Consider the following 14,002-nt stretch of genomic DNA (forward strand, 5'->3'; position numbering starts at 1 on the left):
AATTAGCTAGGTGTGGTGGTGCATGCCTGTAGTTCCAGCTACTTGGGAGGGTAATATGGGAGGATCACTCGTGCCAGGAGACGGAGGTTGCAGTGAGCCGAGATTGTGCCACTGCAGTCCAGCCTAGGCAACAAAGTGAGGCTCTGCCTCAAAAAAAAAAAAAAAAAAAGAACATCTTAAAAGGTTCCAAAATGTAAAGGAAATGATTACAAAGTGAACAGGATGAGATTGACATTGGAACTTTCACCAGTGATTTGGATACAAGAAGACAGTAAAGCAATACATCCAAAATTTGAAAGTTATTCAAGTTGGAGGGCAAAATAATGACACTTTCAGGAATTCAGGGATTCAAAACTTACCTCCCCATAAGAAGTACCAGGGAATACTCCAATGAAATGAAAAATAAATCTTAAAAGTAGATCTGAAATCTAAGAAATAATATTGACCAAAACCATGTAGTGGAGCAGAAATAAGTGCAATTAGCGGTGATGGTAAAATAAGAATGGAAGTAAAATACTAGATGGTTTCTGCAAGTGAGACAAGAATCCAACTTAAAAATTTATTTTTATAGAGACAGAATATCACTATATTGCCCAGGTTGGTTTCGAACTCCTAGCCTCAAACAATCCTCTCACTTTTCTCCCAAAGTGCTGGGATTACAGGTGTGAGCCACTATGCCCAGTCAAATAAATGGCTTTTTCTTTTTCTTTTTCTTTTTTTGAGACGGAGTTTTTCTCTTGTTGCCCAGACTGGAGTGCAATGGTGCGATCTTGGCTCACTGCAACCTCCACCTCCTGGGTTCAAGTGATTCTCCTACTTCAGCCTCCTGAGTAGATGGGATTACAGGCATGCGCCCACACGCCCAGCTAATTTTGTTATTTTTAGTAGAGATGAGATTTCTCCATATTGGTTAGGCTGGTCTTGAACTCCCGACCTCAGGTGATCTGCCTGCCTCGGCCCCCCAAAGTGCTGGGATTACAGGCATGAGCCACTGCACTCGGCCATAAATAACTTTTTCTAAAAGAAACTATAGATTGGTTAATTTTAAGTGCTTATAGAAAAATCTAAGTTGGAATTCTTGGGTGAATAGTAACTACAGAAACAATAAATATTTAGTGTTACATATGTTTTGTTTATATAAATAAATACAGTTTGACTCTACTGCATCTTATCTATCTTTCTAGTGATGGACACCTGTGATACTGCCAATTTCTCCACTTCACTGCTGCCATAGACAATGTAGTGGTAAGTATCCTAATTCATGTCATGTTATGGACCTGTGCAAAAATTTCTCTAGCATATATACCTAGGAATATAGTTGCTAAGTCACAGGGCTATTTAATTTCAGTAAATTCTGCTAAATTACTTTCTTAAAAATCTATACTAGTTTATATTCTCACTAGCTAGATGTGAAGATTCTCATTTCCTCACATATTTGCAAACAATATTATGTGACTTTCTAACTTTGACATATTTGGTAGCTATAACATTTTATTTTGGTATTGGTTTAAATTCCATTTTTCTGATTACTGGGGTATTTGACAACTACCCAGCTGTTAAGGTTTACAATTCTGTAAATTTCCTATTCTTTTTGCCCATTTGTCTCCTTTTTTTCCCATTTTCTGTAAAGACTAATTGGTAGCAGTTTTTTGTCTATTTTCTTTTCTTTCTTTCTTTTTTTTTTTTTTTCTTTGAGATGGAGTCTTACTCTGTCACCCAGGCTGGAGTACAGTACGGTGGTGTGATCTTAGATCACTGCAACCCCCACCTCTCGGGTTCAAGCAATTCTCCTGCCTCAACCTCCCAACTAGCTAGGCTTACAGGCACTCATCACCACTCCCAACTAATTTTTGTATTTTTAGTAGAGATGGGGTTTCACCGTGTTGGCCATGCTGGTCTTTAACTCCTGACCTCAGGTGATCTGCCCGCCTCGGCTTTCCAAAGTGCTGGGAGTACAGGCATGAGCCACTGTGCCTGGCCAGTTTATTGTCTATTTCAGTTATTACACTTGTCATTTGAAACATTCCAAGTATCTTCTCCCAGTCCATGGCCTGTTTCTCTTTCTCTTTGTTTATGGTATCTCTTGTTTGTTTGTTTAGAAAAAAAGATTAACATGGATAAGGACAAATCTATCATTTACGCTTCATGATTCTTAATTAAAAAAGTTTTCTTCATTCCTGAGTCACAAAGGTTCAAAGGCTTTCTCCCACATTTACTTCTATTAATTACTTAGATTTACTTAACATTTAGATCTTTTCTTCTTGAGTCTACCACTGAATATGATGTAAGGTAGAGATCTAGCTCCAAGTTTTCTCTTCTGATGGCTACTTTTTCCTATTAATCCGATGCAAACTTTATTGTATATCAATACAGTTGCATACCTGTGTATACGCAGGACTGTTTCTGAGCCCCCTATTATGTCCTTTGGTCTGTTTTTCTGTCCATGCCTCTGTGTCGTGTTTTCTTTTTCAGCAAAGTTTTAAGTTTTATAATGACCACTCATCATCTACATTCTTCTATCAACATTTTTCTATATTTGCTTTTATGTACCATGTTATTTTTATAACTAAAACTTTGTATCTATCTTAATATCTTATTAGCAGTGATCCTCAATCTTCACTATATATGAGAGTCAATTAGAGGGTTGGGGGGTCCCCACCCATATGGCTTTTAATTAACTAAGTATGAGTTGGAACCCAAGAATTTACATTTCTAGCAAGTTCTCAGGTAATGCTGATGCTTATGGTTTGAGGATAACAGAGAATCACCATCTTATAGGATGAGTCTTCTTAGCTCCTGGTTTTTCCATATACATTTCAGAGTAAGTTTTTTGGCATTTATTTTCTGGCCATGATGGATTTACCCTAACTCCTGAAATGAATAAAAACAGACAAAATATTTGAAACAATGATTTTCAAAATACTGGACATCAAGAAATGAAGGACCGTGGTCCCTGAAGGATGGAGAAAAAAAAGAGGTGAGCACTATGATTATCCCCAGATTACTACCTTGATAGAATTTCCAGGCCATGGAGCAGGAAGGGAGAACCCTGCAGAGCCTGGCACACTCCTTATGTTGAGGAAGTGGAACTAAGAGTTCAGAGAAACCAACGAAGGTACAGTTGACAAGGCAGAATAATGGAGAGAACAGGGCTGCACACAGAGAACCCCAAAGAACTGCATAGAGTTGCCTTTGTAAATTCACCCAAGTACTGCAGCACATTGTGTGAGTAAAGTGCCTAAGGCTAGGGAAAGAACTACCTGAAAGGATTAGAAGTAACAGTAACCTGCACTTGCAGTTAACAGTGCCCTGTGCCCACACACAATGGGTAATAATACCTATTCCTATCAGCAAGACTGGAAAACCTCATGATTCACAAGCATAGGGTAGAGTACACAAAATGATCTTGCATCAGTGGTGGGGAATAATTAACCCTTGATTAATATCTGCTTCAGTCCCATCTAATACATCTTAAAGGCAAGACCTGGAAGGATTACACTGTTTTCTTGTAATATAACTGTAAACCAGAATGAATCTCAAGAATACTTATAGGCATACAATAATGCCCAGAACCCACAACATAAAATTCACAATATCTGCCATCCAACAAAAAATTACCAAATATGCAAAGAAGCAGAAAAATATGACCCATAATGAGATAAATAGATCAAAACTGACCTCAAAGCTGACACAAATGTTAGAATTCAGATAATGGCATTAATATGGTTATAACTATATTCCAGATAATCATAAAGCTAAGAGACATGAAAGTTTTTTAAATGCAAATTAAATTTTTAGAAATGAAAACTACACTTGTAGAAGTGAATTCTACACTAGAAATGTGTGAGGTATGTAATACAATGAATAAGATTAACAGCAGATCACACAATGCAGAACAAAATATTACTAAATTTGAAGACAAAATAATAGGAACTCCAAAATGAAGCTTAGAGATTTTTAAAGAATTTTTAAAAATGAACAATAACTATAAATTATGGGTCAATTTCACTAATATATGTGTAATTACAGTTTCTGAAGGAGAGAAGAGGGGCCAGAAAGAAAAATAATAACTGAATATTTTCCAAATTTGATAAAAATTAAAAACACACAGGCCCAACAAACTCAACAAACGCTAAGCACAAGAAACATGTAGGAAACTATACCAAGGAGTATTATAATCAAATTACTCAAAACCAGTGATAAGGTGAAAACCTTAAAAGCAGCCAGAGGAAAAAGGACATGCAAGAAGAATAAAGACAAAGGTAATGGCAGACTTTTTGCCTGAAAGAATGCAAGTGAGAAGACAATATATTAACATCTTTAAACTAATGAAAGAAGAAAACTGTCAACCTAGAATTCTGTATGTACCAAAGACTATCTTTGAAAAAATAAAGAGAAAAAAAATTTTTTATGACATAAAAACTTGAAGAATTTATTACCATCAAGCTTACACTATAAGAAATATTAAAGGAAGTACTTTATGCAGAAAGAAAATGATATTAGATTGAAATCTGGATTTACACAAAGGAATGAAGAGCACCAGAATTGGTAATTACATGGGTAAACATTTTAAAAATTTTTTATTATTTAAATGTCTTCAATATATTACAAAGGTAATAGCAGATTTCTTGCCTGAAAGAATGCAAGTAAGAAGACAATATATTAACATCTTTAAACTAATGAAAGAAGAACACTGTCAACCTAGAATTCTGTATGTACCAAAGACTATCTTTGAAAAAATAAAGAGAAAAAAAATTTTTTATGACATAAAAAAACTTGAAGAATTTATCACCATCAAGCTCACACTATAAGAAATGTTAAAGGAAGTACTTTAGGCAGAAAGAAAATGATACTAGATTGAAATCTGGATTTACACAAAGGAATGAAGAGCACCAGAACTGGTAATTACATGGGTAAATATTTTTAAAATTTTTCATTATTTAAATATCTTCAAATCTTACCTGTTAGAACAAAAGTAACAATCAATGTAGGGTGGGATCTATAACATATGTAAATGTAAAATGACAGCAATAATACAAAGGTCAGGAGGGGAGAGATGTAAGTATATTATAAGGTTCTTACATGTGAAGTACTGCATCATTCAAAGGTAAACTGTGGTAAGTTAAACATACATACTGTAAACCATAAAAAACCACTAAAATAACAAAATCCAAAGAGTTATAGCTAATAATGTAACAAAGGAGATAAAATGAAATCATAAAATAATCCAAAAGAGGGCATATAGAGAGGAAAAAGTGAAGACAGCGACAATAGGGACAAAGGGATAACAAATAGTAAGATGGTAGATTTAAGCTTAACCATATCAAAAGTTGTATTAAATATAAATGGTCTAAAGATTTCAATTAAAAGGCAGTGACATCAGATAGACTTTCAACAAAGCAAGAGGCCAGGTGCGCTGGCTCATGCCTGTAATCCCAGCTCTGTGGGAGGTCAAGGCAGGTGAATCACTTGAGGCTCAGAGTTCAAAACCAGCCTGGCCAACAGGGTGGAACCCCACCTCTACTAAAAATACAAAAATTAGCTAGGTGTAGTCTCAGCTACTTGGGAGGCTGAGGCATGAGAATCGCTTGAACCTGGGAGGCAGTAAGCCAAAATTGTGCCTCTGAACTCCAGCCTGGGTGACAGAGTAAGACTCTGTCAAAAAAAAAAAAAAAAAAAAAAAAAGAGAAAAGAGAAGAAGCTAATTGAATCTAGCTCCAAGCCCTTGTCATCACTTTTAGTGTACTTGACTTTGATATATAGAATGAGACGTAGGTTGAGGTTCATTTTTTGGTGCCAGTACTATTTATTTAAAACATTGTTCTTTCCCTATTGAATTGCCATGGTGCTTTGTCAAATAAATTGGCCTTGTATGTACAGGTACATAGCTGAATTCTTTATGCTGTTTCATAGATCTATATCCCTATTTTTATGCCCAGTGCCACACTGTCCTGACTACTGAGATTTACAGTAAGTCTTGAAATTATGTAGAGTAATTCTTCCCAAATTTTCCTATTTTTTCAAAATTGTTTTGGTAATTCCAAGACCTTTACATTTCTGAATAAATTTTAGAATGAATTTATTAATTACAACACATAAAGCTTACTTGGATTTTACTTGGGATTACATTGAATCTGTTGATCAGTTTGGGGAGTATTAACTTCTTAATGATATTGGTTTTCCAATCCAAGAGCATGATATTACTTGAGGTCTTCTTTTATTTCTCTCAGCAATATTTTGTAGATTGTGGTGTACAGATCTCATACATTTTAATGAATGTGTCCCTAAGTAGTTCACATTTTGATGCTATTGCAAATGGTATGGTTTCTTAAATTTTAATTTCTGATTGTTCATTACTAACTGTAGAAATACAATTGATTTTTTTATATACAGATGCATCTTGACTTACAATAGGGGTTACATCTCAATAGACCCATCATAAGTGGAAAATGCCTTAATATACCTAACCTTCTGAACATCATAGCTTAGCCTAGCCTACTTTAAATGTGCTCAGAATGCTTACATTAGCCTATAATTGGGTAAAATTATCTAACACAAAGCCTATTTTATAATACAGTGTTGAATATTTCATGTAGTTTATTTAATACTGTACCGAGGTACAGTTTTTACTGAATATTTATTACTTTCACACCATTGTAAAGTCAGAAAATCATTAAGTTGAACCATCAAGTTGGAGACTTTATATTGACCTTGTATCTTGCGACTTAACTAAATGTATCAGTTCTAGTTTTTTTATAGACTATCATATTTCTTCCATTTTTCATCCTAATATATAATGCCTTTATGTTTCTTGCCTTACTGCATTGGCTGGACTATTTAGTCCAGTGTTGAATAGAAGTGATGAGAACATACTTGCCTTTTCCTGATTTTAAAAAGAAAGAATTCAGTCTTTTAATATTATGTTAGCTGCTGGTTTTTTGTTTTATTGTTTTTGATAGATGCCTCTGATCAGATTGTGGAAGTTCCTTTCTAGTCTTAGATTAAGAGTTTTACCATAGATGGATGTTGATATTTGTTCAATGCTTTATCTGTGTTCATTGAGACAATCATAGAGTTTTCTTTGTTAATGTGTTAATATGTTAAATTCCATTGATTAATTTTTGAAGGATAATCTTGCGTTATTGGGTTAATTCCTATGAGGTAATCACATATTGCCCATCTTATATGTTGCTAGATTTGGTTAATATTTTGGTAAAGAATTTTGTGTTTGTGTTCATGGAAGTTATTGTTGGAAGATGACTCTCTCTGAGTGTCTTTTTTTTCTGCACATCTTGTGAGGCACTGGTTACCTTTGATCTGAACTGTCTTTTCCAAAATCTTTGTAAGACATCTTGTAAGACAGAGATCGTGACTCTCTCTGAAGCAGAGGGCAGGTTTGTTTACTATTCAATATAATAAGGATTATGTTTTCCTTTGGGGCAAAGGTTAGCTTGGTTTGCTTGTAGCCCATTATACAAGCTTCAGATTTCCTAACCTTGGAGTTCTTCAGCTTTGATGCAAACCCACTGCATATGCACCATCAACCTGGGCTGCTCTGTGTCACTCCCATGGGTCCTGGGTTGGGGGAGGAGGAACCAACATATATATGAAACACATGATGCTTACTGTACTGTCAGTAATACAATCTTTTATCTCTGACTGAAGAGTCTTATGTCTTTTACCAGCATTAATGATATTATGGCAGTGTAAACTGTTGGCTTACAAGTAAGGTAAACTCCCAGACCCTTCACAGTTCTTGACAGTTTTTGGTGATAAAAATGGGATGCTGACAGAGACTTGACTTTCTGAAAAAGAAAGGGAAGGGTTCCAGTGGTGCAGGTAAGAGGAAATGAGAAAATTTTCTAGCATGTGATCTCGCCCAGTTGGTTGGAAGAAGGTGGTAGAAGGATCCCCTACCATCTTACCTGTTAGTGAATGTTTAGAGGCTGAGCAGCAAAGGTAGGATTGAAACAAGTCACCTGAATGGTGACTTAATGGTTGCTCACCTTCTTCCTGCAGGCTTTCACTGTATAGAAGATATCCTGTTGGTTGGAAAGAGAAGCCTTGGTGTCAATGGCCCTGAAGGCAGAATTATAGCACCTCCATCAGAAGGGATGGACTGATAAACCCTGAAAAAATTCAGGAGCCTGCCTGCTAAGTGTTTTGGAACTATGTGGCACATTAACAATGCTCAGTCTTCCTGGAAGTGAAGGAAGAGCTGTTGTCTCTTTAGCATCCCACCACAGAAACACAGGCCTAGCACCTTATTGGTCTCTATGGAGTCTAATATTAGAGATAGTATATGCCTTACTTGAGCATTACACTTTGTCCTTTATATAGACTATCCCACAAACCAGTTATTATAAGTGGTTCTGTGCATTATAAGTGGTTCTGTGATTGCTGTGAAGCCATCTGTGGCAACCTCTCTACCTAAAGACCCCCAAATCCTAATGACATTTTTGAACAATAAGTCTCAATGACTGAAGATTTTGCCAGTTGGAGTTTCTTGCAATGGGACGCTGCCCCCGAGGTTTTGAACTTGTCATCTCCTGTTGTGGGGAACACCTCTTGAAAAGCCGCTATTAGTTTGCTACCGGGGAATGACTGACCTATGGAGGCCTTGTGACTCTTTTGCCTGTACCAAATTATTCCTATTTAGAGACTCAATGACCTAGCAAGGTGGGAAGGGTCCAACATGCTCATTTGTCAAGTAGTAACGGTATATTTCAGGTGTACTTCCCACCTCCATTCTCACAATGGTCGTTCAGTCATTCCGTGGGTTGAATGGATATCATCCAGTTGGCGGCTTACACAAACAGGATAAATTGGATTCACTACCCTAAGGCAGCTCCTCCAAAATAAGGAGTAGACTTACTTATCTAAACTGGTCTGGGACTCCTTCATTGCATAAGCCAGCCAAGAAGCCACATTGGAGGCACTGTCAATCTGTGCCCCTCAACTGATATGTAAGTGCAACTTGGACAATTAACTTGCCTTCTTCCTGAAAACAATGTGACTTGCACTTTAGGGGTGGTAATGAGAGACCTGCAAATGTTTACGGAAACATCACCAGTAGATCATGTATCCCTCAAGTGATTGCAATTATCTCTTCAAAGTGCAAATATTGGATATTCAAGAGAACTTCCTGATGGGATGACTGACTTATTACATATGTGCAGCTGATGCAGGCAGTTATCCCCAATTAGAGTTATTCAATTAGAAAAGGTAATATTTCTTCTTGAATTTAGCTTACACTTTCAATGATATCACCTTGACCCTGGAGATATCCAGGTCAGCTTCAACTCAATGGCCAGGGTTATTATGGGTGATAGAATTGTCCTAGACTTCCACTTTGCAGGCCAGAGCAGTGTGGGCAATTGCTAATACAACTTGCTCTACCCATATTAATGTCTCAAGCCAAGTGAAAAGGTCAGCAGGATCTTAAGAGGAAAATCACCTGGCTTTCAAAGGTAAATCCTAGCAGTTTATGGGATTTGTTTAGCTGGTTGGGTCTAGGACCTTAGGGGGCATGGTTGAGTTTACTGTTACGTTATTGGTGTCATCCTATTGTTTGGAGTCTTCATTATCTTTCTTATCAAAGTGTTACTTTTAAGATATCTGATAAGAATCTGATTCAGATTCTTTGTTCCTTTATATGTAACAGATATTTCTGTAAGCTTTTAGAATTACTTGTTTACATTTCATGTAATTAAAAATTTTTATTTGATTGAATTCAGTCTTTCTATAATATGACTAGGAATGGGGTTTTTCTTTTTTATCTTGTGCTTTTAAAAATTTGTGCATTTTCAATCTGAATTCCTTTTATTTTTTGAAACTGGGCCTCCCTCCGTTTCCCAGAAGGAGTGTAGTGGCATGAACATGGCTCACTGCAGTCTCTACTTCCTGGGCTCCAGTGATCGTCCAGCCTCAGCTTCCCAAGTAGCTGGGACTACAGGTGCATGCCACCATGCCCAGCTAATTTTTTCTTTTTTTGGTAGAGAGAGAGTCTCACCAGGTTGCTGAGCCTGCTCTTTAACTCCTGGGCTCAAGCAATCCTCCTACCTCAGCCTCCCAAAGTGCTGGATTACAGGTGTAAGCCACTGCACCTGGCCCTGATTTCTCATTTTTAATTTTAGAAAATTCTGTCATTTTTCTTCCAATACTTGAAATTGTTCAAATACATCTAAGTGTCAGTAATCACATAATTGAGAAAGGTTTAATTCATCTCTTACCTTGGGTCTTTAAATATCCAAATATATCTTGTTTATAAGTGATACATGTTTAAAACAGCACAAGAAGATTGAAAATTAAAAGATGTCAAAAGATATACCTGGTAAATGTTGAATAAAAAAGTTTTATATTAATGTTAGTAGTACACCAAATAGAGTTCAAATATGAAGCTTAAAAAAATACAGAGAGAGTTCTTACTGATAAAAGGCTTATATAGTAATAGAGTATAACTAGAGAACCACTTTTTTTTTTTTTTTTTGAGATGAAATTTCACTCTGTCCTGCTCAGGCTGGAGTGCAGTGGTGGGATCTCGGCTCACTGCAGCCTCCCCCTCCCAGGTTCAAGTGATTCTCCTGTCTCAGCCTTCTGAGTAGCTGGGACTACAGGTGTGTGCCACCACACCCGGCTAATTTTGTATTTTTAGTAGAGACGGGGTTTCACCATGTTGGACAGGCTAGTCTCAAACTCCTGACCTCAGGTGATCCACCGCCTTGGCCTCCCAAAGTGCTGGGATTACAGGTGTGAGCCACCGCACGTGGCCGAGAACCACTTTAGATTTAGTGGCCAGGGAATGTTTCTCAGAGGAGGTGACATTTAAGTTGGGATCTAAGTTACAAGGAAGAATCAGTCTTGTGAGAATCAAGGGAAAGAGCATTCCAAACTGAGAGAAGAGTTAGTACAAAGGCCAGAAGCAAGTACAAGGGAAAGGAAGCAAACTGAGATTGGAGACATGAGAAGAGGCCAATCGGGTAGGGATTTGTAATTCAAATAAAAGAATCAATAGACTTTAGTAAAAAAGGACTATAGTTCAACTTCTATAAATCTGTATGTGGAAATTCTTATCCAACAGCCCAATATAGCTAAAGCTATAATGTAGATATCCATAAACAATAGAGATTGTATTGCAGCATTGTTTATAATAGTGAAGCTGAATCAATCAATAATTGATTGTATGAATTTAAATTACACATACACTATGAAAAGTATAACAATGATTTTAATTTTTTTTTTTTTTGAGATGGAGTTTCACTCTTGTTGCCCAGGCTGGAGTGCAATGGCACAATCTCAGCTCACTGCAACCTCCGAGGGCCTCCCGGGTTCAGGTGATTCTCCTGTCTCAGCCTCCCGAGTAGCTGGGATTACAGGTGCATGCCACCATTTCCAGCTAATGTTTGTATTTCTAATAGTGACAGGGTTTCATCATATTGGTCAGGCTGGTCTCGAACTCCTGACCTCAGGTGATCTGCCCACCTCAGCCTCCCAAAGTGCTGGGATTACAAGCATGAGCCACCACACCTGGCTAGTGATTTTAAATTTTAAAAAAACTTGGGAAGAGAGGAAAATAAAGAGATTTGGAAAGATGCATTGTTCATATTTCTCAGGAAATACTTGAGGGGGAAAGATGTGATGGGGCACTGTCAGATTTGCTCTTTATATCTCTGTATTATTTAGATTTTAAAGTAAATATCACAATCATGGAGCTATTAATATTTAATCAGAGTCTTAGTGAGAATTACAAAAGATAATGCATTATTAAAATGTTCATTTTTGGCTGGGCATGGTGGTCCACACTTGTAATTCTAACACTTTGGGAAGCCAAGGTGGGATGATCACTTGAGCCCAGGAGTTCGAGACCAGCATGGGCAACATAGTGCATCCTCGTCTCTATAAAAAAAAAAAAAAAAAAAGAAAATTTTATTTTTTTAGTTTCCTTGGGCCTCAGATTCTTTTATCCTGTAACTATAAAAATCCTGTACTTCTTATCATGTAGTTATAAAAATTTTATAATTAGTTATCATATAATTATAAAAATCCTATAGTTCATTTTATAAGAAATAACAAAAATAGAAGAATAATTTGACAAATTTGTTATAGTAAGAGACTTTAATATGCTTCTCTCAGAAATAGACCTGTCAAAGAGACAAAATATAAGCATTTCAGTAGCACAGTTTACAAGTTTGATCCTTAAAAACACCACATACACGTGTATGTATTATCTATCGAGAGAGAAGAGGAGGTGGATATTATACTCAATGAAACTGAAGAACATTAATTGATTTCAAATATGGAATATTTACCAGAAAAAATGACCCTATAGTAAAACACAAAATAACTTTCAATTTAGAAAGCTTACACAACATGCAGTAAAATGAGAAATAGGCAAGAAAAAATAAAAGAATCCATCTATCTAGACATTCTCAAACACCTTTGTAAACAGCTGTCTGCAATATAATAAAGTGGTTAAGTTTATAAGTTCTGAAATCATACACTTTGTGAATTCAAATAAAATTATTTTTTAGTTCTGTGGTCTAGAATAAGACATGTAGAGATTACATGACTTATACTTTCCTCATCTTTAATGTAGGGATAGTAATAGACTCTGCCTCATAAAATTGCTTTGAGGATTAAATTAAATAATGCATGCCTAAGGTTTTGGCCTGATTTCTGACTCAATAACTATTAGTTCCTGTTGTTGTTGTTGTTGAAATAAAAATTTAATTAGAAAAAAATTTTAGGCCAGGCACGGTGGCTCATGCCTGTAATCCCAACACTTTGGGAGGCCAAGGTGAGTAGATTGCCTGAGGTCAGGAGTTCAAGACCAGCCTGGCTAACATGGTGAAACCCCGTCTCTACTAAAAATACAACAACTAGCTGGACATGGTGGTGCATGCTTGTAGTCCCAGCTACTTGGGAGGCTGAGGCAGAAGAATCACTGGAACCCGGGAGGCAGAGGCTGTAGCGAGCCAAGATCGAGCCACTGCACTCCAGCCTGCGTGACAGAGCAAGACTCTATCTCAAAAAAAAAAAAAGAAAAGAAAAAAATTTTAAGTGACTTATACTGAGAGTGCTTCAGATCAAAACCCATGTAAAAAGAGACCCAAAGGAAAATTAATAGCTTTAAATGAATTTCTAAGAAAACAATATGTTAGAAAAAAGTATAATTTTAACTTGTGAAGTTTTATAAAGATTAAATAAGCACAATGAAGGGATTATTAAAGGTAAAATCAGAAATTATTAAAACAAGAAAAATATCCAGTAGAATTAGTCAATGATAAAGAATAAAAATTGGTTTCTAACAGACCATAAAGTAAGCAAACTTACACCAACCATGATCAAGTGAAGTAGATGGGGGAAGGAGAAGAAATATGTTTGAAATGACAAATAGCACAGAACTGTGTACTATGTAGCTCTTTATAGTACTAACTTTGAAACAAACAGCATAATTTCTAAAAAAAAAAAATACTAATTACCAAAATTACCTCAGAAAGAAGAAGAAATCCTAAAAGACTATAAAAGAAATTGAAAACAGAGTCAGATATTTAGCCTTTAAAAAAAAAGACACCAGGTCCAGTTGATTTAATGGGTGATTTTACTGAAATTTCAAAAATTCAATAATTCTAAGAAGCAGATTATTCCCAAATTATATAAATAATCCCAAATCCCAAAACATATAAAAGAATGGAAGACTACTTGGTTTGTTTTGCCTAGCTAAAATAACACTGGTTCTCAAATTTAACTATAATAACAAAAAAGAAAATAACTCAATCTCAGTAGTATACGCACCTGAAACATCCTAAATATAAGATGACAAATTGAACGCAATAGTGTCATAGGCAGAATAATGACCACCCCCTAAAGATGTGCATGTTCTAATCTGCTGAAAGTTTGAATATGTTAGGTTACACACCCAAGAGGAATTAAGGTTGCAGACATAATTAAGGTTGCTAATCAGATGACTTTAAGATATGGAGATTTTCATGGACTATTGGGG

The 14,002-nt window shown here is 36.1% G+C and overlaps 1 long non-coding RNA gene across 1 annotated transcript; it reads left to right on the forward strand.

Annotated features, from left to right (window-relative positions):
- On the forward strand, nt 118-13,526 carry LOC124900987 (uncharacterized). The gene is made up of 2 exons (XR_007058789.1): nt 118-2,977; nt 4,030-13,526. It is a non-coding gene; the product is annotated as an uncharacterized LOC124900987 (long non-coding RNA).
- Nucleotides 13,527-14,002: the final 476 nt, after the last annotated feature.

The sequence above is a fragment of the Homo sapiens genome, chromosome 5, assembly GCF_000001405.40.
Source record: "Homo sapiens chromosome 5, GRCh38.p14 Primary Assembly".
In the NCBI taxonomy this organism is placed as follows: Eukaryota; Metazoa; Chordata; class Mammalia; order Primates; family Hominidae; genus Homo; species Homo sapiens.